The sequence below is a fragment of the Homo sapiens genome, chromosome 3 (genome assembly GCF_000001405.40).
Source record: "Homo sapiens chromosome 3, GRCh38.p14 Primary Assembly".
Classification (NCBI taxonomy): Eukaryota; Metazoa; Chordata; class Mammalia; order Primates; family Hominidae; genus Homo; species Homo sapiens.
In genome coordinates, this window is record NC_000003.12 from 175717372 (window position 1) to 175743972 (window position 26601).

Sequence of the window (26601 nt, forward strand, 5' to 3'; positions counted from 1 at the left end):
GATTTTTTGTTTTTTTAAATCAAAAAATTAATATACTAGGCCTAGTATGATGGCTCACACCTGTAATCCCAGCACTTTGGGAGGCCGAGGAAGGAGGATTGCTTGAGCCCAGGAGTTTGAGACCAGCCTGGCCAACATGGCAAAACCCTGTCTATACAAAAATCACAAGAATTAGCTAGACGTAGTGGCGCAGGCCTGTGGTCCCAGCTACTTGGGGTGTTTAGGGGGAGCATCACTTGAGCCCAGGAGGTAGAGGCCACAGTGACCCAAGATCGTACCACTACACTCCAGCCTGGATGACAGAATGAGACCCTGTCTCCAAAAAAAAAAAAGAAAAGAGAAAAAAAGAAATAAATTAATATACAGACAGCAACCTTGAAGGAGATGATTGAAGTTTAGAGTTTAGTCTAACAGTGACCTCAAGAGAGCAGATTTTTTTTTTTTTTTTTTTTTTTGAGATGGAGTCTCACTCTGTTCACCCAGGTTGGAGTGCAGTGGCACAATCTTGGCCCACCGCAACCTTCACCTCCCGGGCTCAAGAGATTCTGTTGCCTCAGCCTCCAGAGAAGCTGGGATTACAGGCGCCCATCACCACACCCAGCTAACTTTGCTTGTATTTTTTTGTTGTTGTTGTTATAGCACAACTTATATATTTTAAATGGACAAAAAATTAGTATCATTTACAGTATCTTAAGATAAATTTCCTTTGAATGGGAGCTTCCTTTCCAGTACTTTGAGGTCTACAAGACGTATCTAGAAAATTTACTACTGTGGAAAATGAAGACTGATTAAATCGAATGGAGGGGAAGGGGAAGGGCCTGTGGTTTTTTTTTTTTTTTTTTTTTTTTTTTTGATTAGTTGCTGTAACACTGTCCTTCGGGCGACTGAGGGAGTTTCATATTTTCTTTAGACATCGTTAGGCGCCGAAGCTCTTGCAGGACAACTTTGATGCTATATGAATTCTGCCATTTTGCTAGCACTGATATGCTCTTGGGTCCACCACTCCATTAGAACTATTTACTCCATTCATATTAATTTTTGTTACAAATCTTAAAAAGGGGGGTGCTTCTGGGTATTTAGGTCCACATTCTATTTTAAGGCTGTATATTCGGTTTTCATAAATTGTTCTTGGAGGCCCAATTATCATCCCTGTCCATCTTGTAAGTGTCATGTCTTCGTCATCTTCTAGATCCCAGCTAACTGTGCCATCTCCTACTCCTTTCTGGCCTTCTTCGAGTTTTTCCAACAGTCGGAAATTGCGAGGGACTTTTACTCCCGAGCCCGTGGTGGCTGCCATCTTGCGTTTTCTTGTATTTTTATAGAGATGGAAGATCACTTGAGGCGTGGAGATCAAGACCAACCTGGGCAACATAGCAAGACTCTGTCTCTACAAATGTATTTAAAAATTAGCCAAGCATGGTGACGCACACACCACTGCACTCCAGCCTGGGCAACAGAGACCTTGTCTCAAAAAGACAAAAAACAAACAAACAAACAAAAAACAAAAAACACCACCACCACCAACAACAACAAAAAACAAGGATAATGTGATTATTTTGGTGTAAACCTAATTTTGTACCAAAAGGCTAGCATTGAATTTTTTAAAGTGCGGTATGATTGCCATTATCTCATCCGCTTTGTGCTAAAATGCTTTTTTAGTTGCGATTGGGCCAGGGGCCAGGATGAATCTCCTCTGAAATTCTGACCTGAATCTTCAGGAAGGAAGATTGAGGAAGAAGGTCTTGGTTAAAATAAATCAGGTTGTCAAGCAGGGGTGATTTTGCCCCCAGGGAACATCGGCAATGTCTGGAGACATCTTTTGGTTGTCACAAATGTGGGATGGGGGTTACAAAAAAAAAAAAGGAAAGACTGGTATCTTGTTAAATGAGTCACTAGAAATCTCTATCTACTACTGGTCCAATATGTTGCTAAAAGAAAACTTGTTCTACCTAAGATATAACAGTATGTTCATATTGAAAGTGCACATGTACCCTAAAACTTAAAGTATAATAAAAAAAAAAAGTTCCAGAAAAATTGACACCCTAAACTCTACCACATGTGGAAATGGTTTACAGGTTTATATTATTCACATTATGTGAGAATCTCCAAGTTAGAAACATAAAGTAAAACTTGCTCTGAGCTAATGAAATAACCGTTATGCATGACTGTTACAAATGCAAACTGCTTTACAGTAATATTTTTGAATATTTCCAAGATGATTTTTTTAAAACATAGAATAGGTCATGCCACTTCTCACTTAAACTCTGGTTTCCCATTGCACTTACAATACCAGTTAGCAACCTAAATACCTATGACAATCTGATAGCCAGTCTCACTTGGAAATATACTGCCTCTTAGCTCATTCAGGCTGCTGTACCAAAATGCTATAAACTCAGTAGCTTATAAACAACAGAAATTTATGTCTCACAGGTATGGAGGCTGGGAAGTTCAAGATCAAGGCACTGGCAGGTTCTGTGTCTTGTGAGGACTGTTTCCTGATTCACAGAAGGTGCCTTTGCACAGTCTCCTCATGTGATAGAAGAAGCTAACTTTCTGTGGCCTCTTTTCTAAGGACACTAATCCCAATCATGAGAGTTCTGCCTTCATGTTCTAGTCACCTCTCAAAGACCTTACTTTCTAATATAAACTTGGGGGTTAGAATTTCAACATATAAAGTTTGGGAGAACACGCTCAGGCCATAGCACCCTCTCAGCCATTTTTATTTCTTCGAAACAGACATAGACATATGTGCACAGAACTATTCACAATAAAAATTATAAATAATGGTAGAAATTGATCCACTGTGATAAGTATACACAACAATCCATCTGAACACAACAATCGATGCTGAAATAAACTATAAGAGTTTTTTGAAATTATTAAATAATTTTAAAAATTAGAAACCATAACAAAAGAATTGATCATGAGATAGAAAATCATCTTTAAAAGAATTACTCTAGAAGTAACATAATCAGTGAAATTAAAAATACAATGGATGATTGAAAAAGGAATGTATATAAATGTTGAGAGCTATTTGTTGAAGTGAAAAATAAATGTAAAGAAGTAACCCAGAAAACAACAAAGGAAGGAAAATAAAGTGAAAAATGAGAAAGTCATATCTTTTGACCTTCTCATTCTAAATTCCAGAATAAGAGACTGGGGGAGATGCAGTATTTGAAGACATAATGGCTGATAATTTTCCAATATTCATTAATGACGTCAATTTTTATTTTGAAGATCAAATCACAAATAGGATATATTAAAAATAAACCCACATCTAAAAAAAAATTGTGATGAAGTGGCTCGTAGGGGTAAAAGAAAGGTTGCCTAAGTAAGAATAACAACTAGACTGCAACTAAGGACTCCTTCATAGCAACAAAATAAAATAGAAATAACTTCAAAATGTTAAAGAAAAATAATTTGCAACCTAGAATTCTGTACTAATCTAAAGTATCATTCAAAAGTGAGAAAGAAATAAAGATATTTTAGAAAAAGGCTGAGACAAGTTTGCCACTTACAGGCTTTCACTGAAAGAACTACTGAAGAATACATTTCAGTAAGAAGGAAATTGAATCTGTTATGATAATGCAAGGATAAAAGAACTAATGGTGTGCCAAAAAATGGTGAAGATGTGAATAAGTATAACTAATTTTTGACTATAAAGAAAACCACACTAATAAGAATTACTAGAAAATATCAGACAATGTAAGAGAGAAAAAGAAGGGCTTTAATGAGGTGTGAGCATCTTGCGTAGTTCATAGTCGTGAGGTGGGTGCAGATATTGATTACCTCTAGACTTTGTTAGTCAACTGAGCTTGTCTAAGATTTAATGTGCCCAACCTAATAAACGAAAAGTAAAAATAGAATATACAATTCAATCTCTACAGAAATAAAAGAACAGGGGAAAAACTCAGTCAAGCTAATATACTTCAAGAAGGAGAAAAGGAAGTAAAGAAAGCTCATTGTCTAGAAAACACAAAATAATAAAATAAATGCAAATGTACCTGTAATTATAATAGCGTTGTAAATAGTTTAAAAATTCTCAGACTGGATTTTTGACTTTTAAGAAATGCAGTTACATATTAATTTCATGTCACACACTATCAAAGAAAGCTGATGTAACAATGTCAACATCAGAGAAAGGAGACTGAGGCAAAGCTCAAACTTGGAGGTTTTTCTAATTAGAGGATGAGCTCATAAGGTTTTTAAAATGAATAATTAGGAAGATACAGCAATTCTGGATATACAGGCATCAACTAACATGTATACAAAATAAAAACTGATCGAGCTATAGGAAGAAATCAATACATCTACTATCACAATGTAAAATCATTAATACATTTCTCTCTAGAGGTATAGAGAAATTGAGAATAAATTGGTATAATATAAGAGCTGGGATGGGAGGTGGGGTAACTACATAAGATAATCTTCCTAGACATGGTGAGTGCCTTAGAGAAGGACCGTGAGCTACTCCTGGAGAAGTTAGAGCATAATGAAATCAGGAGATTGTTTTTTAATGCATTATAATAAAGTGTCATAAAATGCAATGGGCAGATTTTATAGCTCACTACCATTTGCATATTTTTTGTATATGGTATGTTTACCAAATTTTCCATTCGTATTTCATATTTTCATCATACACATGCACACATACCCACACACCATCAATTTGGATTCTATTTCTCGCATTTTGTTGTCTGTAAAAGTAACGTATTGAGAGCCTTAAGACCTTAATCCCAGTTCTGGTCTTGCCAAAAATCTATGTGATGTTTGGCAAATCAAATCATTTCAACTTTCAACCCCTATATTCTTATCTGCAAATTGAGGTGATAAAATCAGACAGAGAAGATTTATTTCATCAGTTGCTGCCCCATAAATTTATCTAAAATGTTTGACCTTTTGGGAATTATAAATGTATATTTAAGTTATATATTTCACAAGTATGTATTGTGTAGCAATTAATTTTTCCATTAAAATGAGGACAAATAAAGTTATTCCATGAATGACATAGTACACATCTGAGATAATAAAACCCAGGCACCTCTTAATCTGCCTAAGTAAATGAGGTGGTTCACTAAAGCATGACACCAGGATATGTCCCCAGTTGTTTAAATAAGTTGAATAAATGGGCACTGAATTCTTGCTACCCCTACAAAGACGTTGTTAGCAATTTATCATAACGAAGGTAAAAATAAAATATGTACATTACTAAACATAGCCTCTTTTGGTGCTGTTTTCCACTAAATAAATTACATTTTAAGTGAAATAAGCTTTTTATTATAACCTACCAGACTCTTCATAGCCTGGCCTCAATCTGTATCATTACCAGTAATGCATAATATAATCTGGAAGATTTGTTGATAGGATTAAATTAAATCATCTATTCACAGTTACAGTGAAAGGTCTGGCACATAGTAGATTTTCAGTTAATACTTGTTCCTTTCCTTTGCCTGCCTTTAGAATATGCAAAAACCATAGATGCACTATATAGCCTCTTTATCAGACCAGTGTGCTAATTTCCTTGAAAAGAGTGAACAGCCATATGATACAATGATGCACAGTGTAGTGTTTCTAATTTTCCTGAGGATCTAAACGTACAAAGCTCACACAAACTTTGGAGAACAAAGGAAGCAGGTTTCCTGAAGTTTGTGGGTAGGTGTCCTACCTCTGCTTCTTAATCGGCTCCTAGGGGCAGGTTCTGCTGAGCCCCAGCGTCTAGTCAAGCTGTCCTAGATGTAGAAGAGACTGCTCAGTTCACAGCATTTATATGAGCAAGTCGCCTAAGAAACATGAGGTTGGTCAGAGCTCTGGCAGCTGGCTAAAATCCACTTCAGGTTCCGGAAAATAGTCACAATAATAAGCTCTTCAGATAGCCCTCGACTTCTGTTATTAGATTGAGTCCTTCAGTACTCTCAGTACTCCTCAATAACCAACCATATGCTAAAAATTTAAGAGAATATTGTGACTGAGTCTTAGAGTAAACCCTTACAGACGAGGAAACAGAGGCCCATAGAAGTTCAAGTAGTAAACTGACACATTCTAAATTAAGGCTAATGTGTTTTCAACAATAAACATTTAGATATTATACTTTTTGGTGATGGTGGTAACATGGTAATATGAGTACCAATTGCTAGATGAAATTAAGACATGAAAACCTTTCTATCTTCACTTGTCCAGATCAGGCTTGACTTTGGCATATTATGTGGAATGGCTTAAGCCTTTCTCCAGGTTAATTTATTAGTAATCACGGTGTTTCTCTAAAAAAATCTAATTATTCAAGACATTCCAATATAAATAGAATATCTTTCTCCTTTACATGGAGCTTGTTGAGAAGGAAGAAAGGGATCCCTTGCAACATAATCATCTTCTCCAACTTTATTTTCATTTTCTCCTTTAAAAAAATCCTTCCATCAAGACTGATTGACTTAGTGTTAGGATCAGAATTTTCACTTACCTGTTCCTCTTACTAAGAGAGCTGCCCTTAATTCTCTCCACCTCTCTAAATTGTATCCTTCCTTTAAGATCCAGCAAAATTGAACTGTCCCCCAAGAACTGTTCTTGGTCCATTGCTGTTCATAGTAACCAGTGTTCTCCTATTAACCTTTGAGATGTGACGTTTCATATGTTCTTTCTGTTTTTCTTTGCTAATAGCATCCAAACCATCCAAAGCCCCTTTAGTACAGTAACTATGTCACAGTTTTACCATTTAACTGAGGACTGTTGAATTATATGTAGGGGCTTTATAAGCATCTCATCAAGATAAATATCGCTCAGATAAAGTGTACTAATAAAAGTATAAGGTCATATCACGTGGTTTAACTGGTCAACTATAAAGATACTAAAATTCTTGAATTGTTGGGCTATGTCATATAGGACATCCTGGGATATTGGAGAAGCAAGGAACTATTAATATAAGAGTCCTGTTTATCACTAAGCAACATGTAAAGACAAAAATAAATCTTGGAATTTCTAGAGCTTGACAGTGTGCTCTGTTGGTGCAGCTTCTTATTTACATACATGTATTTTTAGATTCAACTGAACAATAGCATCTAGTTCAAAGAAAGTTACTGTAAGAACCTTGTCATGAATAGAATCACACATCAAAGGATCTAAAGCACTTGTGGTATTTTTTCTATTTTTAAAATGTCAAGTCTCACTTTGTAGGATGCAATCTGCAATAACATGTATTGCATTTAGAGCCAAGAAAGAAACTGCATTAACAATGTAATTGCATACAGTAAGGGTCACTTATATTTTGACCATCATTTAAAATCTCACTAGGTAGAAGCAGCAAGTTCAAAAGAACAATCTATTTATTTTTTCCATTCCCATATCTCTACCTCTCTCTAGTGCCTTCATTGTCTCTATAAGATAGAAACATGATGTCATTATTTTTTAATGTTCATATTTTTTGAAAAAATGAAACAATATTCCAAGATAATATTTTTTAAAAAACAGAATTATACCAGATATCCAAATCTATAATAAAACAGAGGTTTATTTTTGGTTGTTTTTTCAACTGGCACATATAAAAGGAAATAATTATATTAATTTATATCAAAATAATATTGATCTATTAATGTGATTGCTTTCATTTATTACCAAGATGTTCTTTGTTTAATGGTTGGATATTAGAAGGAAATAACATCTTTGTCCTTACTAAAGCACTGTTTTATTAAATTCCTAAAGAGAAAACTAAAACCACAATATTTCACATGTACAGATACTCAGCATTATGACCTGAAAATACAATTTCTAAGAGAATTTTCTCTTTCTAGCTCTTTATGAAAGGCTTCTTCTGTCTTGGTGCATTATGTATGCTTGTTATATGTTTCTTTAGCATTATTACAAATTCTGCTAAATCAGTTCTTTAATCTTTCTATGACTAATTGATTTGGATAATTTACAAAGTACATCATTTAATAAACATAAAATTAATCTTTTAAAAATACACAGCCACTACCTCCTTTGTCACACCACAGCCATGATAGTTTTTGCAACTACTCTAGGGTATCTTAGAGAATTGTTTTACTTCATAAATCTCTACTTCCCTTTTTAGGCTCAGGAAAGCAGGATCTACAGACATGAGAATTAGCATTGGAATGTATCAAAAGTTATAATCCTGGTAGGATCACTTGCTCAGGGCTTTATTTTAAATAGGTGTAATCAGCCCTTGATTATTCCTTAGAATCGTTATGTTCACATTTGGTAAATATTGGCCACTGGTATTCCCTATTTGCTAAAATTAGAAAAGGGCTTGGAAAAAAATTTCAAAGGTGCTAATTAGGGTAACAATTAAGAGTCCAGATCTGCAGCCAGAATGCTTGGGCTCAAATCTCAAAATTGCCATGTACTAGCTACGTGGACCTTGGGAAATTTAATTAACTGAGCAATGCTTCTATTTTCTCATGCAAAATAGAATAAGGCTATTGTAAGGATTCAATGAATTAATTTATATAAAGAATTTAGAATAATGCCTGGCATATGGCAAGAGTGCAACAAATGTTAGCTGCTGTTATTATTATTGATATCATGTTAAAGATAGTTATTAGTGAAATATAATGAAGATTCTTAATTTGTCAATCAGCACATGCAGATTACTACTAAACATAGTAAAAATGTAAAGTTAGTATCTTGAAGTTTCATTTTCTAGAACACTAAGAAATATTAACATACTGTGGTCCCTCTCTAGAAACAATATGACTAGCAGAAAACACAAATATATTACAAAGTCAAAACATGACTATATCACTGAAAAATAGTCATTAAAAATGCCAAAAAGCTAATTTATTATTTCCGAATTAATCTGTAAATATATTTTCTCAACTAAAATTTAATAACAGATAGGTGATGACAGTCACCAAAAGAGGAGAGCTATCTTACATTTGACCAAAAAAAAAAAAAAAAAATTACATGAGTTACTTTTCTGTGGCATGGGAATAGAAAGTAAGCATTTTATTTTAGTAATAGATTTGCAAATCCTAAACTTTATCTTTGCCTGAGGCTTTCTTCAGCCCTGGAAAGCTGCCAGTGAACAGGATAGTTCAGAGATTAAAATGTAACACCTCCATGGAGCAATGCCCAATTGGTAGCTAGTGAATCAATACACTGCTCCCTTGCCCCTCGAATGGGAAGATCCTGAGGTACCTATTTTATACTAGCTCTAAGGTTTTCTCCAGCAAGGTTAAGCTTCAGTCATCCACAGTGGTAGCTGTGGTACACTACTGTGTGTCAGCTACAGTGGTAGCTGACTTGATAATGTGCTTTCTATTGGCGGTCTTGTCTTCCTTGTCTCTCCTTCCCATCCTACTACCCTCACCTCTCAATGAACTATGTGTGATCAGATTTCATCTCAAGTTTGTTGTTTTGAGGGAGTACCCAAACTAGGATTCCTGGTAAACTGGAGATGGTGTGATCAGAGTTTAGGCCGAGAAACTAGAGAGGAAATGGGGCTTTCAGCAGAAGCAGAAGCTGGAAAGGAGGATTTGAATCAGGGAGTTTATATTCCCAGCCATTGGTTTCTTGACATCATGAGTTGCCTTCTTCTTCAATGCCCTCTTCTTCAATGCCCTGGTGTTGGGAGGTGTTAGTACATACTTGCAAAAAACTATACTGTTAGCAGTTCAGGGCTAAGTTAAGAGCCCAACTCTTTCATAATCAAATTAAATTTCAGTGGAGACATGCCTTGTTTATGTCTTCTTTCTTTGCTTCACATCCCATCGATTTTTCATCATGTCCAAGTGGTCCCGAGAGCCTTTGCATGATCTGTCGGCTCCAGAAATTCTGCAACTCGGTGCAGGGAAGGCATGCTCCAGGCTGCAAACCCAGTGTCTCAGTAACCTCATTCAGCTCTTGGCAACTGTTGGAGGCATGGTGGTGACTGAAACAGCAGTTTCTCAGCACGCTGAGAGAAAAGAACTCTTTCCTCCGGAGGTATTCAGAGCTATGGCCATTCCACTATCCAAAATGCTGTTTTCAAGTTTAACACTGTTTGCTAACACAGGTCTTTATGTTCACACGTAGTTTCTTTTTGGTAGGCCCCTGGACCAAACAGGATAAGTCACAGGAGCTCCTAAAAAATGGCCATGTGTTTGGGGAACTATATATTCCAAATGTTTCCTGGGATTACAACCCTTCTCCTTGAAGCAAATTGCCCTATCAGAGGCTATTGGAATTCTTCAATGACTTTGGAAATCCTTTGCTAAAAGATAACCTACCACCTAAGGTAGTCTTCATTTGAGACTACCTCAGTCCTTCAAAATCATTCTAATGTCTTTGAAAACTTAAGAAGGAAAAGTGAGATCTTGAACCATTTCATTCCTAAAAGGTTAGAGATTCCATGACAATTTTCCTATCTCTTTCTCCTCCAACTATTGGCCTTCACAAATGTAAGCAGTGGAAGCAAGGCCTTTGGCAAGGCCTCCTAAGCATTCCACCAAAATTTTTCTGCAGAAGAAACCCTCAAGTCATCCATTGGCAAGAAGAGGAGCATTATTCAGGTGTTGGGATGTTTCTGCTTATACATGAAACTCTCTTGGGGCTGTCATGGTGGCTCTTGTTGGGGCTGAGGGAACAGGTGTGGCATTTAAAATTTTCCTTGCTAGTTTCTGTGATGTGAGTTGTATCTGAAGCTTCCTTTTTGATAGTTGTGGAGGTTGTATAAGTTCTCGCTTTACTAAGACACTTTTACTTTCAAGTAATTTTTTTATATATATAAACTTGTCAAATTATAGTTGAATATTAGATATCATAAATCTTGCTATAGGTCAAGGGGAGCAATGGAAAGGAAGTGAGACAAACAGGTCTGTTTTTTCGAATATACAAGAAACATATCCCAAACAAGTAACTGCACAGCTCGGATGATAATGTGGAGAATGTGTTGGAGGCAGATATTTAAAACAATTAGGGAGTTTGTGGAGTATTCCAAATGAAAGACAGTGACAGTCTTAAGGCTATATTTTAGTCACATTATGGATACATGTATTTTGTGCACTAATTGTGCATTACACCATTTAATTTCTAATTTTGGGGGGAAATAACTTGGGTATGTCAGGAATACATCTTTGATCCCTCTCCTCTATGGATACTGCAGCTTTGGAAAGGGGTCGTGAGGACTGGCAGCTGCTTCTCATTCTGTTCATCTTCAGGAAACTCCCTCCACTCTTCTTGCCCATGGCTGGCTGCCCTAAAGTTTGTTATCCACAGGATATTTGTTGTTAAATTGGGGAATTTCTAGTATAAAGTGACATAAATCAGAGACATGTCACTTCAGGATGAACATAACAGCCTGAAGGACACTATGTACCACAAAATCCTGTTGTAAAGACTCTTGCCAGGCTATGATTTATCAGGTTATGCCTCTGCTCTGAAAGTTAAAAGGAGTGGAGCAGACTCCCTGCAGATCACTGAATCATGGCCATATGGCTTGGATGAGTTTTAGGGTTTTCTGACCCTATGCCCCACACTCCACACACAAGCTTACTTCCCAGTAACTGAGAATTCTGTTTCAGTCACACCGGTTTCTTGTTTCTCTAAAAAATCTTGTTTTACTCTAAAAGTAAAAAGAAATGTTGGCTTTTTTCTACCCCAGATTGCTGCTCATTTTATTCCCTTGGTCTAGAATACCTTTCTCATTTTACAGTCATCTAGGTTCCTGCTCCCCAAATATATGTGTATGGTGTCGTTATGTGGTTTGTTTAGAGTGGAATAGAAAATGGTGCTTTCTAAGAAATAAAAGATTCATATTTACTAATTTTAACTTCTTTTTTAACTTAATTTTTAACTTCTTTTTCCAATTGTGTAAAAGTGGAATGGACTTATCTCTAACAGGAAAGTAAGTTCTAAGGAGAGCACCTATCTTTTATGACATTTTAGCTCTTTTCTCTCCCCCATAGCATGGTAATGATCACACAATAAAGGATCAATAGCTACTAGTTAGGACGGTTCATGATTCATCTACTATTTGTCATGGTGTCTTATAGCATGTGTTAAAGTGAATTAACAATGGCCTGAGAAGGACTCTGTACTTCTATATTTGAGTCCTTGTGGATGAACTGTAACCTAACTAATAGGTAGACCAGATTCACAACCTAAGAGTATGTGCCTGTAACAATAGCTGAGTCTTTGTCAATCCCAGAAGCCATACTTCAACCACTCATACATTGCTGAGTGTTCAAACTGTGTTCAAATAAAGCAAACACCAATCGGTAACCAATCCAGCTGTTTCTGTACCTCACTTCCAATTTCTATACATCACTTCCCTTTGCTTTGTCTATAAATTTGTTCTGACCATGAGTCATCCCTACAGTCTCCGAATCTGTTGTGATTTTGAGGGCTGCCAGATTCGCAAATCACTCATTGCACAATTAAACTCCTTTAAATTTAATTCAGCTGAAGGTTTTTTTTTTTTTTTTCACATGCCACAGTGACATCCCAGTTTTTTTTTCCCATGGTAACATGTAAAACAGGTGTTATGCTTATCTTACAGCATCAACTTTCATAGTAGGGCTCTATTGCGTTTTAAATTTAACTGAGGACATTTAAAAAAATCCCATGATAATAGTTTAACTTACAGCTTAAATGAAAGGTATAAACTATGGTTACTTTAATCTGGGTATATAAAAATATAGAAAACCACACAATGCTCAACCATGCTTGTGGCTAAAGAGAAATTACATTATAGACCCAGGGCAATGGTATTATTTTAGTGAACCTATATATGTTTTACTGCATTGTCCACTCAATATATGACAAATTCGTTAAAAGCATTTATTGCAAATACAGTCACCATACTGGGTAATGAGCTACAATAATTAAGGGGAGAAAATGTACCCTACTCTTTAGATATTGACAGTTTAGTAAATAATCTTTTTCTTTCTACATTGGTCTGGTAAGTAAGAGGAAGATTTGTGATGAAGTCAAAGAATTACAGTTATCCCATATAAAAGTTTATCTTTCTTTGGCCTGTAGTAATTTTAGTTGTATTTAAAGGTGCAAAAGAGTATTTTCAGAAAACTTAATACAGATATATATATATATATATATATATATATATATATATATATATATATATACACACATACACACGCACACACACACGTGTGTGTGTGCGTACACTTTTTCCTTAACTCTGTAAATAATCTGTTGCCTTGTTGCCTCATAGGGTGATATTTATATTCTTAACATTCTAGAATAAGTTTCTATGTATAGTTTTTATCTTTTGACAATCTGATCTTGCCTAACACTAGTGAGACCACTAACTCTAGGAACATCAATATTATTTAGTAAGAGAGGAAAGCCTTTGCAATGTGGTGATTATTAACTCAGTTTTCAACACAATGATCCTTTTATATTTTTAAAATATTTTTAGTTCTTTACAGTTTTTCTTATTTCTAATTTATTCTTCCTTTATCTTCTGCTCAGGGCTAGTATGGTCAGAGAATAATGGAAAAGGAAAGACACCAGGGTCTTGAGGTACATGTGTGCTTGTAAAGTCATTGCATTGTAATTTTACAGATGGTGAATAGTTATTTACTTATGCTATGTGCCACAGGTATGCAAATATCATAGATGTTCAGGATTGGAAATAAGATATTACAGGTATTGGCTGGTAGTATTACAAGAAACATAGGTTTTTGTATTTTTTTCTTCACCAGGAAACACAGTAGTAGAGTGGAAAGAACAGTTGGCAAGAAGTAAAGAATTTAGAGTCTAGCTTTAGTTTTCCACAGATAACCAACTGAGAGATTTTTTTCTAGATTCTGACTTAAACCTCGTGTTATAGCAAAAAAAGTAGCACAGGCCTTCAAATCAATGACACTTGGGTAGGTGACTTGAGCAAGTTAACTAATCTCTGAGAGCCTCAGTTTCTTTTTTTTATATGAACATGGTACCTGCCTTGCTGAGCTGTTGTGAGAATTAGAGAGAATGATGTTTGAAAACTTCCATACAGCTCTGATACCTAGTAGGTGCTCCAGGAAATTTGGTTATTGATATTTTAGCTTTGCCATTACTGTTAACTGTTCTCAGTGAAGCTGATTCTCAGTGTTTTTGACATAGAATATTAATTCCCCATCTACCTGTCTCTTAGGGTTGTCAGGATAATGAAATGAGATATACAGGTATAAAGTACTTTGAAAAGAATGAGGCCTCATATGAATGTAAAGGAAAGTTGTTCTGGTGTGCCTGAGGAAGACTGAGTTTCAGAGTGGGTAAGAATATGCAGTGTGGCTCATCTCTGTGCTGCATGACAAGGAGTATACAAATCTTCCTCTTGCTTACGAAGCTGCAAAGAAAGCTGATTTAGTCTAACCATTCCGTTGTGGGCCAGGTGTTTCTGAAGTCTCAATCTTTGTTGCCAGAAGGTAGTTGGCTTATATTCCAGTGTTCAAGGTGCCAAGCCACTCTTAAAAAACAAACAAAACAGCTTTCTCCAGCAGCACTCAGAGAAGTCGCCTTTCTCCCTCCTCCTTTTTCTTTTTTAATCTTTTGTAATGTGTGGTATCCAGATTCTAACTGTAAACAAAACATGTCTTTTCTGTAGTCTCTATTATACAGTGCAAACTGGAAAAAAAATCAATCAGAATCCTTCTTAATTTCTTTTAAAAATCCTTTTTATAAATAATTTATTTTTATATTTTGGTGTTTCTTGTATGATTTGGATGAAGTGAGGTGGAATTGAAGGATAATTTATGTCAATCTATTGCACACAATTCATTTCCTGAAGTACAGCGTAATCAGAGTAGGCAGTTTCCCAGGATTTTTGTGATCACTCTGCTGGTGTAGGGGCAAAGGGAAAGCTTCCCCTCCACTCTCTGAAGGTTTGCTGAAAATGAACTGACAACAGGCAGGCTAATAGGAGAAAAATGCATAGTTATTTATTTCATGTGCATGATGGGGGGGATGCATAGGATTACGCAATAACTCAATGGACTATAGAAACATATTTATGTACCCTTTTCTGTAAAGCAGAGAGAGATGGGGAATTTAGACCATTCTTCTCATGAATAGTAAATTATTATTAGGCATAATAAATGGACCTGGGAGACAAAATTAATTTGTAAATGATTCTCTTTAGTATTTGAATCATCCTTAGAGGCGACACTATCTGTTTGGAAAAGTCCATCTAGGTGTAGTTGTATCCCTCACTGACAAACAATGAGATTTCCAAGAGAGGATTAAAGGTAATTATGTTCCTCTTTGGAGGTTCACAGTTTTTAGATGGATAAGAGAACTTCCGAGAACATCCTCATCGTGTGCTTTGAGAAACACAGAAGTGTTGGGAGGGTGCGGGGTAAGCAAGGGCAGGGAGACCTTGAGGCTCTTTCTTTAGCTCAGTATGTCAAAGTCTTATTTTGCAGGATACTTTTTCAGCACCCCAACATTGGGGATAAGACTCTGCAAAGATACGTTAGGAATTGGTTGGTAAATTTGGGAGAAAACTACCTCAAAGGAATAAAAAGTTATCAAAAATGGTTTTTCAATGAGAACACATGTACATGGGAGGGGAACAACACACGCTGGGGTCTGTCGGGGGGTAGGGTGGTGGGAGGGGAGAGCATTAGGAAAAAATAGCTAATGCACGCAGGGCTTAATACCTAGGTGATGGGTTGGTAAGTGCAACAAACCACCATCATCTACATTTACCTATGTAACAAACCTGCATATCCTGCACATGTACCCCAGAACTTAAAAATAAAAAAGGGGTTCTTTCTTCTCTTTATTTCTAATAAACACATTTTCCCAAGCAGATAGAAGAAGATCAAATTGAATTATATTTTTTACGACTTGAATTGTGCAAACAATTGGGAAATATAACTTTTAATGTTGTATTAGTTCGTTTTCACACTGCTGATAAAGACATACCGAAGACAAGGCAATTTACGAAGGAAAGAGGTTTAATGGAGAACTCACAGTTCCATGTGGCTGGGGAAGCCTCATAATCATGTTGGAAGGCAAGGTGGAGCAAGTTACATCTTACGTGGTTGGTGGCAGGAAAAGAGCTTGTATAGGGGAACTCCTGTTTTTAAAACCATCAGATCTCATGAGACCCATTCACTATCACAAGAATAGCATGGGAAAGACCCGCTCCCATGATTCAATCATCTCCTACTGGGTCCTTCCCACAACATGTGGAATTATGGGAGCTACAAGATGAGATTTGGGTGGGGACACAGAGCCAAACCATATCATTGCACCCCTGGCCCCTCCCAAATCTCATATCTTTACATTTCAAAACCAAACATGCCTTCCCAACAGTTCCCCAAAATCTCAACTCATTTCAGCATTAACTCAAAAGTCCACAGTCCAAAGTCTCATCTGAGACAAGGCAAGTCCTTTCCACCTATGAGCCTGTAAAATCAAAAGAAAGTTAGTTACTTCTTAGATACAATGAGGTCTCAGGTATTGGGTAAATACAGCCATTACAAATGGGAGAAATTGACCAAAATACAGGGGCTACAGGCTCCATGCAAGTCCAAAATCCAGCAGGGCAGTCAAATCTTAAAGCTCTAAAATGATCTCCTTTGACTCCATGTCTCACATCCAGGTTATGCTGATGCAAGAGGTGGGTTCCCATGGCCTTGGGCAGCTCTGCCCATGTGGCTTTGCAGGGTATAGCCCCCCTCCTGGCTGCTTTTACCGGCTGGTGTTGAGCATCTGTGGCTTTTTCAGGTATGCAGTGCAAGCTGTTGGTGGATCTACCATTCTGGGGTCTGAGGACGGTGGCGTGGCCCTCTTCTCACAGCTCCACTACGTGGTGCCCCAGTAGGGACTCTCTGTGGGGGCTCTGACCCCACATTTCTTTTTTGCAGAGGTTCTCCATGATGGCCTCGCCCCTGCAACAAATATTTGCTTGGGCATTCAGGCGTTTCCATACACCTTATGAAATCTAGGCAGAGGTGGGCTGGGCGCGGTGGCTCACACCTGTAATCCCAGCACTTTGGGAGGCCAAAGCGGAAGGATCATGAGGTCAGGAGATCAAGACCATCCTGACTAACATGGTGAAACCCCATCTCTACTAAAAATACAAAACAAAATTAGCTGGGCGTGGTGGTGGGCGCCTGTAGTCCCAGCTACTTGGGAGGGTGAGGCAGGAGAATGGTGTGAACTCGGGAGGCGGAGCTTGCAGTGAGCCAAGATTGTGCCACTGTGCTCCACCCTGGGCAACAGAGCGAGACTCCGTTTCAAAAAAAGAAAAAAAAAGAAATCTAGGCAGAGGTTCCAAACCACAATTCTTGGCTTCTGTGTACCCACAGGATCAATACCATGTGGAAGCTACCAAGACTTGGGGCTTCCACCCTCTGAAGCAGCAGCCTGTGTTGTTCCTTGGCCCATTTTAGTCAAGGCTGGAGCAGCTGGGACTCAGGGCACCAAGTCCCAAGACTGCACACAGCAGAGGGACCCTGGGCCTGGCCCATGAAACTATTTTTTCCTCCCAAACCTCCAGGCTTGTGATGGGAGGGGCTGCCGCAAAGGTCTCTGACATGCCCTAGAGACATTTTCCCCATTGTCTTGATGATTTAGCATTTGGCTCCTTTTTTACTTAGGCAAATTTCTCCAGCTGGCTTGAATTTCTCCATAGAGAATGAGATTTTCTTTTCTATCACATTGTCAGGCTGCAAATTTTCCAAATTTTTATGCTCTGTTTCCCTTTTAAAACTGAATGCCTTTATCAGCACCCAAGTCATCTCTTGAATGCTCTGCTACTTAGAAATTTCTTCTACCAGATACCTTAAATCATCTCTCTCAAGTTCAAAGTTCGACAAATCTCTAGGATGGGCAAAATGCCACCAATCTCTTTGCTGAAACATAACAAGAGTCACCTTTGCTCCAGTTCCCAACAAGTTCCTTATCTTTATCTGAGACCACCTCACCCTGTATTTCATTTTCTCTATAATTGTCAGCATTTTGGTCAAAGTCATTCAACAAATCTCTATGGAGTTGCAAACTTTCCCACATTTCCCTGTCTTTTTCTGAGCCCTCCAAACTGTTCCAATGTCTCCCTATTTCCCAGTTCCAAAGTTGCTTCCACATTTTCAGGTATCTTTTCAGCAGTGCCCCACTCCTGGTACCAATTTATTGTATCAGTCTGCTGCTGATAAAGACATATCCAAGACTGGGCAATTTACAAAGGAAAGAGGTTTAATGGAAAACTCACAGTTTCACATGGCTGGGGAAGCCTCACCATCATTGCAGAATACAAGGAGGAGCAAGTCACATCTTTCATGGATGGTGGCAGGAAAAAAGAGAGCAGGGAAACTCCCATTTTTAACACCATCAGATCTTGTGAGACACATTCACTATCATGAGAACAGCATGGGAAAGACATGCCCCCATGATTCAGTCATCTATTACCAGGTCCCTCCCATAACACATGGGAATTATGGGAGCTACAAGATGAAATTTGGGTGGGGACACAGAGCCAAACCGTATCAAATATTAAATGGAATTTGCACCTTGTTGAATATATATATTTGGATATATAACATCATAATTTCCTAGTAAATTATATCTTTTATGCATTCTGTCTCAAGTTAGTGTGCTAATTTCCCCTGTGTAGTTTCACAAGACAATGTTTTTCATTCACTAACCACATTTCACACTGCATTAATAATAACACAGTCGCATTTCCCTGTGTGCTGCCTTCAGGGTTATAAGATATGTAGGGACATTCGTTAAGCCCAGGTAAATATTTAAATATCACTTATGAGAGAGAGAGAGATAACAATGGCATTTGCTGCCAGCCCTAAGGTCCTTTGAGATGTGTATGAATGCATATGACTTGTTCAGCCTATTAAGCAGATGCTAGTTCAGCTGTAGTGCATGTGTTAATATTCTGACAGTTTTGGGGTGGGGTCATGGGGGAATTATGTATGTACGAAGATTGCAGATATGAGCTTTGGGGATGCCTTTTAAAATTTGTATTTATTTATTTTAAGCATTGATCTCACAGATGTATTAATACTATTAGTTTTGATTCTAGAAAATTATAAAAATTAAAAAGCAATTAGGAATAGAATAAAAGCATGAAGAAAAATCGTATCTAAGATTTTGAAGGAGGTTTATTGGAAGCCAAATGTGAAGATCTACCCGTGAAGACACACCAAACAAAGAGTCTGTTACAGGTTGGGAGGCTTTCCTAAGGAAGCTTAGAAGAAGGGAGGAAGACTCCTCATATCAGAGTTGTTCTTTTTACTGGAGGGTATAACACAGAGGTTATAATCACTGGCTACAGATATCAACATACAGGTTAAAATGTCTACATGCAAGACAATTGGCAAAACTTCCTGATTCTGAAACAAATCAGCCAAACTTCACGATTCAAAGACAAATCAGCATCCTTTTCAATGTCATTAGGTTATGTATTCGTCAGTATGTAATTTGGGGAACTCAGAAAAAATTCTTTACTCAGTGACAGGATGTTACCATAAATCACAAGACAAGTTAACTTGGAAGACTGTTTACTTTCAAAGTAAACTGCCAAATGTGGCCTGTAGGTTATCAAATAAAATAAATTGATCATTAATTTTGTCTGAAGTTTTCCTTAGTCCAATAACCAGGCATTGATTTTCAGGTGTTCCTCTTTACTGTTTGTTTGGTCATGTGATACTACGAACTGTAAGGAATTATTTAAAGTCTAAATAGTACAACTCTTTCAATTAGGGAAGGCATTTCTTAATATTTCAGCTCACAAAAGGAATAATATATTTCCTTATACTATTCTGAGACGTGAAAAAGATACTGAGGTCTTTTTCTTTATAGAAAGATAAAATTAAATAAAGATTTAAAAGAAAAAGAGATTTTATAAAACTATATTATTCCTGTGTGTTTTTGCTGCTCTAGATGTATAAAAATATCTGAAATAATGAAAAACAAACAAATGAAAACTCCTAATTACTGAATGCTAGTATTTTCTTTTTCCTTTTTTCTTTCAGCTCTCAGGAGAAGTGATTTTGCAAATTGCCAACGAACCTGTTCTGCCCTTTAATGCACTTGATATAGCTTTAGAAGTTCAAAACAACCTTAAAGGTAATTTTCCTTTGAATTATAGTAATTTTACCAATGAAAAATTGTTCAACTAATTTTCAACAAGGAATGGATGAAGTCATCAATGATCTTACTAGCCATGGCAATGCTGTGCTTCCTGGAGAGGCTGATCCTGGGAAGGACCTGGAAGAATTTTAGTTTTCATTCAACAAAAATGAGATGCACGGATGTGTAAGCATAATGGAGAATATCAGATTTTGAAGGATGGCCCATCTATTTTATCAAAGAGATTTATAATTCTAAGTTTCTGTTATTATTTACAGGTTTCATGTAGAATAATACAGTTCAATGATCCAGTTTTTTTTTTTTTTTTTTTTTTTTTTTTTTAACATTCTAACAGCCAATCAGTTCAAACAAGATTGGCCCAGAAGTTTCTCTTTTGGGGTTGGTTTCTGTGTGGTATGGGCCCCATTCCATTTGACTGAGTTATTGGCTCAGACTTTAGATCAAAGATGATAAAGAAGAAACCAGGCAATTATTTCTGAGTCTCTATTTCAATTCCTTCATGTTTGAATATATCTCTCTCAGCAGAATTCTGACCCCACCCTAATAATTACCTTCATTTCCCCTTCATCTACATACAAATCTTTCAATTAGGCTCCTAATTTGTCTTCATTAACCAAATACAAAGGGCAGTATTGTGATTAAAGATTTCACCCTCCTCCTCTTTGAGTCACACATCTTCCTAACAGATCTTTAATGAGTCATTTGTGGACAACTACTTCTCAATAAAAAAGTCAATATTTTAACTGTAGAGCTGAAACAGTAATCCTTTGAAAATGGATCATTCTAAAAAGCCAGATATCTCCAATAGCTGAAAATTTAATTTTTTTTTTCTTTTTTTTTGAGATGGAATCTCACTGTCTATTGCCCAGGCTGGAGTGCAGTGGTGCGATCTCAGCTCACTGCAACCTCCACCTCCCAGGTTCAAGTAATTCTCCTGCCTCAGCCTCCCAACTAGCTGGAACTACAGGCACATGCCACCACACCCGGCTAATATTTGTATTTCAGTAGAGATGGGGTTTCACCGTGTTGTCCAGGCTGGTCGCAAATTACTGAGCTCAGGCAATCTGCCTGCCTCGGCCTCCCGAAGTGCTGGAATTACAGGCATGAGCCACCGCACCTGGCCCCCTTTTTTTTTCTTTACCTGGATTGTTTCTTACTCCCTGGATTAGAGATTACTCCATTTTTCCCCCTCAATACTTCTTATGATTTTATTATAGTGACTGTAAAACCATGACCTTGTGAACAGTTTGAGCCACTTACAGCTATTTGTTACCATACAAATAGCCTCATATTGCTCTCCTTTTTATATATTTAAGTTAGTCTCTATATAGTTTCCTTCTTTCCTACCTACATTAGGCTTTCATCTTACTGTTGTCAGTGTGTCTACTGTAGCAGTCACTCTGGGCAACCAAACATATGGCACTTTGCAAAATAAGAACAAAGAAGGTATAAATAAAGGTCTAAATAGTTTTGTGAATAATAAATATCATTTTTGCAAATATTTTTTTAAACAGTAATTTTATTTATTCTGTAAACTGTTTTGCTGTTTCTTTAGTTTTTATATTTTATACTTCAGAAAATTCTATTGGTATTCCATATAAAACTTTAAACTTTCAGAGAACAAAAGGAGTTTAACAACCTCACAATACTTGTTCATCTAAAAGCAATAACTATCATGCATGAAAAGAAGCCCCAAAGAGTATACTGCAAAATGCTAACATTATATAATAGAATTATAAATGATAGGTTGCTTTCCTGAGACCAGAAGTATTAGCAATACTGTCATTTTACATGCTAAAATCAATTTTTTAAACAATGGGGTTTATTCTTCAAAATTCATATATATGATCCTTTTGTGGTTCATATTTGTGACGATTCGGTTGTCAGGCCAATGTGTGAGATTTACCTCCTTCAAACCTTGTTAGCACATTGGCACATTTCAATTGTCTGACATAAGAAATCTACAAATTGGCACAATATTTCCACATTATAACCACTATATAAACATTTTAATTAACATAGGCTAATACTGATGCTCAAAAAAATGACCTATTGGGTTATTGCTAGAATTAGATTATTAATCTGGTTGGTGTGGATGATTAAGAACCCTTTCAACATCTGAAGAAAATCATTATCTTTCTCCACAGAAAGTTAAATGTATACAAAAATTTTTGCATGTAATCCCCATGGACTTCACATCTCCTGAATCCACTTTTTCATTCATTTAACAAATATTTATTGAGCCTCTCTGGTATACTTGGCACAGTTCCATTATCAAAACAAACAAACAAAACAAAAACAAACAGCAGTTAGATAAATAAACCAAAATTAAAATCCCTTCTCCTAAGAAACATACCTACATACATTCCCATAGTGGAACAAAATTAGCATAAATAAAAGCAAATCTGAAAATAGCACTATGCTCAAACTAATATCAATCACTAAATGCCATAATATTAATTACTTTGATACAAATTTGCATTCCCAAAATAAATGTCATAGCAGAACATAGCAGTTGTATCCAGAGTATGGAGGAGAGATCTGACCTGAGAATGTAAATTTCGGATTCATCCTAGATGAAATTACTAGGGGATTACATGTAGAGGACAGAAAAGGTCTAAGACTTCTCAGGCGCTCCTTCCTTTAGAAACTGGGATAAAGGTACAATTATAGGAGGAGACCAAGGAGGAGTGGCCAAAAAATAATAGAAAAACAAGCGAATCTTATAACCAGAGGCCAAGTGGATAATATATTTCAAAGAAGAGGAAGTAATCAACTGTGTCAAATGCTGGTAATGGGTAAACAAAAGGAGAACAGAGAATTGACTAGTGGATTTAGCAATGTGGAAATCATTGGTGATCTTAACAAACAAAATCATTTTAGTAGATTAGTATAAGCAAAAGCCGGATTAGAAGGCATCCGAAAGAAAATGGGAGGTGATAAATTGGGGATGTGTGGCAGTGTCAGAGTCATTTGAACCAGAGTGACTCCACCTTGAATGAGGGCTAGGAAAATGAGGCTGGGACTTGCTAGGCCATATTCCCAGAAAGTTAGGCATTCCTAGTCTCTCGATGTTTATGGTTAAAGGAACAGATTGATAACGTTTACTCAACAGACCCAGACTTGGGAGTGTTCTAATATCACAATATCTTGAGAACAAAGGCATTTCTAATTTTGCTTTAAAGACAACAGTATTGGTTCTTGCAAAATATAGTAATTAAGAAAATTAATCCTTTATCACAAACCCTTATAGCAGAGCGCATCTCCCCATGATCTTTTTTATCCTGAATATAAACAAGCATTGTACCTAGGGCGGACATGTTCCTCCTCTTACTTTAGGAAATGTTCTGCTCTCTCTATGGAGTGGCTGTTCTTTCAGCACTTTACTTTCTTAATAAACTTGCTTTTGATTTGCACTGCGGACTCGCCCTTAATTTTTTCTTGTGTAAGATCCAAGAACCCTCTCTTGGGGGTCTGGATCGGGACCCCCTTCCTGTAACAGTGGTATAGGTGATAAAAAAGTATGGAGTCAAGGAAGTGTAGCATGTTTTTATTTTGATGACAGTGATCTAGTGGAGAGGTAAAATTTGCTCACACAAGAGAGTAAAGGGAGAATTGCTGGACTGATTTTCTTAATTAGGGGAAGCACAAGGATTGAGGACTTCACATTAGTTAGGAACTGTCATAGTCCATTCAGGCAGTTAAAACAAAATACCATAGACTGGATGGCTTATCAACAACAGTAATTTATTTCTTACAATTCTGGAGGCTGAGATATCCAAGATCAAAGCATCAGCAGTTTCGCTGTTTGGTGAGGGTTCACTTCCCGGTTCAAAGATGGCCATCTTTTTGCTATTAACTTCACATGGTAGAAGGGTTGAGGGAGCTGTCTTGTGTTTCTTTTAAAAGGGCACTAATTTAATTTTTTAGGGCTCTGGCCTCACGAACTAATCAATTCTAAAAGATCCTACCTCCTAATACCATCACTTTAGGGGTTAGATTTAAACATGAATTTTGGGGGACATAGCATTCATACCAAAGCAGGAACACAGTAGTCCATCCATGAAAATGTGAAGGGAGGCAGAACACACAGTAGATGGGTAAATTTGCTGTTGAGATTCCTTGGCAAGTTTCTTTAGATTAGAAAAACATAAAATAGCTGTTTTTTTTTTAGGAGGGTAAGAAAGTGAAAAACCATGAAAATATAACTTTTTTGGGGCAGAATTAAGAACCCAGAAGAGATACATATTATAAAAGAGATAATTCAGCATAATTTTTGATTTTTTCCAGCCTCCAGAGGGAGATGCAAATGTAGGGGAGAAAAGAGCTGTTTCCTCACTTATCACTAGGTTGATGGTTGAGACACCTATAACAAAAGACACATTAACAAGTGTGAACTCAAGATATCTAAGATAGGTCTCAGTCAACTTAGAAAGTTTATTTTGCCAACGTTAATGACGCACCCATGACATGGACTCAGACATCAATTAATATATGTAATATATGTACATTGGTTTGTTACAGAAAGGCGGGACCACTCAAAGGAGGGAGGGGACTTCCATGTCATAAGTAGATAAGAGACAAAAAGTTGCAGTCTTTTTAGTTTCTGTTTAGCCTTTCACTCAATTCACAATTTACAGGAATAGTCGCTTATGCCTTATCTGGTTTAGTGAAAAAGTATGGCAAGGGAAGCCATCAGATATGCATTTGTCTCATGTGAGCAGAGGGATGACTAAGTTCTGTCTGTCCTTGTCCACAAGGAATTTCCTCGTCAGGGAGGTATGTAGCTTGTTTTCAATCTTTGTAGCTATACTATATAGAAATAGAATGGGAGGCAGGTTTGCCTGACACAGTTCTCAGCTTGACTTTCCCCTTTGGCTTAGTGATTTGAAGGTCCCGAGATTTATTTTCCTTTCACACAAGAGAAAGGCATACGAATTTATATAATGTAAGTTTTTTTGTTTGTTTGTTTTGTTTGTTTGTTTGTTTTCTGAGACGGAGTCTCGCTCTGTCACCCAGGCTGGAGTGCAGTGGCGCGATCTTGGCTCACTGCAAGCTCCGCCTCCCGGGTTCACGCCATTCTCCTGCCTCAGCCTCCCGAGTAGCTGGGACTACAGGCGCCCACCACCACACCCGGCTAATTTTTTGTATTTTTAGTAGAGACGGGGTTTCACCGTGTTAGCCAGGATGGTCTCCATCTCCTGACCCCATGATCCGCCCGCCTTGGCCTCCCAAAGTACTGGGATTACAGGCGTGAGCCACCGCGCCCGGCCCTATGTAATGTAAGTTTTGCATGACACAGGAGCCTTCAGAAATGAAAACCCAAAGAAAGAGGGAAATGTATGTATTTTTATGCTAAGTTTGATGAAGAGTTCAGAAGTATGATTAGAAGACAAAAAGATATGATCTAATTGTAATAAGTTGGGGGGAATTCAGTAAGATCTCTGTTCAGATTATTCTCAGTGTCTGTATCTCTTTGAGGACAAGGATGTTTCTTTTCTCCCGGTGTAGGGAGGGTATCTCTGGAATAAAAGTTTTATGTCTTACTTCAGAGGAAGGTCAGACAATTCCAAATCTTTTTTTTTTTTTCAGACGGAGTTTCATTGTTGTTGCCCAGGCTGGAGTGCAGTGGTGCTGCGCGATCTCCGCTCACTGCAACCTCCTCCTCCCGGGTTCAAGTGATTCTCCTGCCTCAGCCTCCCAAGTAGATGGGATTACAGGCATGCACCACCATGCCCAGCTAATTTTTGTATTTTTAGTAGAGATGGGGTTTCACCATGTTGGCCAGGCCCTTCTTGAACTCCTGACCTTAGGTGATCTGCCCGCCTTGGCCTCCCAAAGTGCTGGGATTACAGGCATGAGCCACCATGCCCGGCCCAGAGAATTCTTTTATGGCAGGCTTCAGGGGAGAGGGCCAGGAGAAGGTCAGAGACAAGGTCTTGCTTCTATTGCTTCCTCAAATGCCAAGGTGCCATATTTTGGGATAGGGTGTCCTGAACCCCATCACAGGCATAGAACAGGCAGAGTTGGGTTTAACCAGGGCTAGACCTTTTCTGAGAGAAGGACAATGAACTGCATAGGATAAAGAAAACTGGATGTACATAAAGGATGTATGTAATGAATGCATTATGATGGACCAGATGTACGTGAAGGATGTATGTAATGAATGCATTGTGATGGACCAAAGTATCTTAACTGGGGTTGGAATAAAGTGAGGTTACGAAAGGAGTGAAGGGTAGTGAAAAGGAGGTAGGACCAATAGACTTCATGTCATAGTGAGATCGAAGAATTGACAACACATGAGCTGACAAGGCAGGAGGTGGTAGTCAGCAAGTTGGATTCGTGAAAACGAGATCATAGAAAGAGTGCAGACATTGGTAAGGACAGCGTCCAGGCCAGTGTATGACCATGAGAGTGTGGCACATGGTTGCTAGAAGAAAAGAGGCTAAGGAAAAGAGAGTATCTCTATGTGGATATTGACATTGTAAAGAATTAAGCTTTTTGTAAGAGTGAGTAATGATGAGTCAGGAGGTAAAAATCTTCAAAGAA

The 26601-nt window shown here is 37.4% G+C and overlaps 1 protein-coding gene, 1 non-coding gene and 1 pseudogene across 22 annotated transcripts in view; 2 read left to right on the forward strand and 1 right to left on the reverse strand.

Annotated features, from left to right (window-relative positions):
• NAALADL2 (N-acetylated alpha-linked acidic dipeptidase like 2) overlaps positions 1–26601 on the forward strand; it is a 1369567-nt gene that overhangs the window by 1276390 nt on the left and 66576 nt on the right. For all 21 annotated transcript variants that reach the window (XM_017006077.3, XM_047447876.1, XM_017006075.3 and 18 more), the window contains one exon: positions 19935–20028. In XM_017006077.3, coding sequence (XP_016861566.1) covers positions 19935–20028 — 94 coding nt within the window. The remainder of the gene's footprint in view (positions 1–19934; positions 20029–26601) is intronic.
• Positions 631–1311, reverse strand: UBE2V1P2 (UBE2V1 pseudogene 2; annotated as a pseudogene).
• LOC124906366 (small nucleolar RNA U13) lies at positions 21900–22005 on the forward strand. Its single transcript, XR_007096333.1, has one exon. It is a non-coding gene; the product is annotated as a small nucleolar RNA U13 (small nucleolar RNA).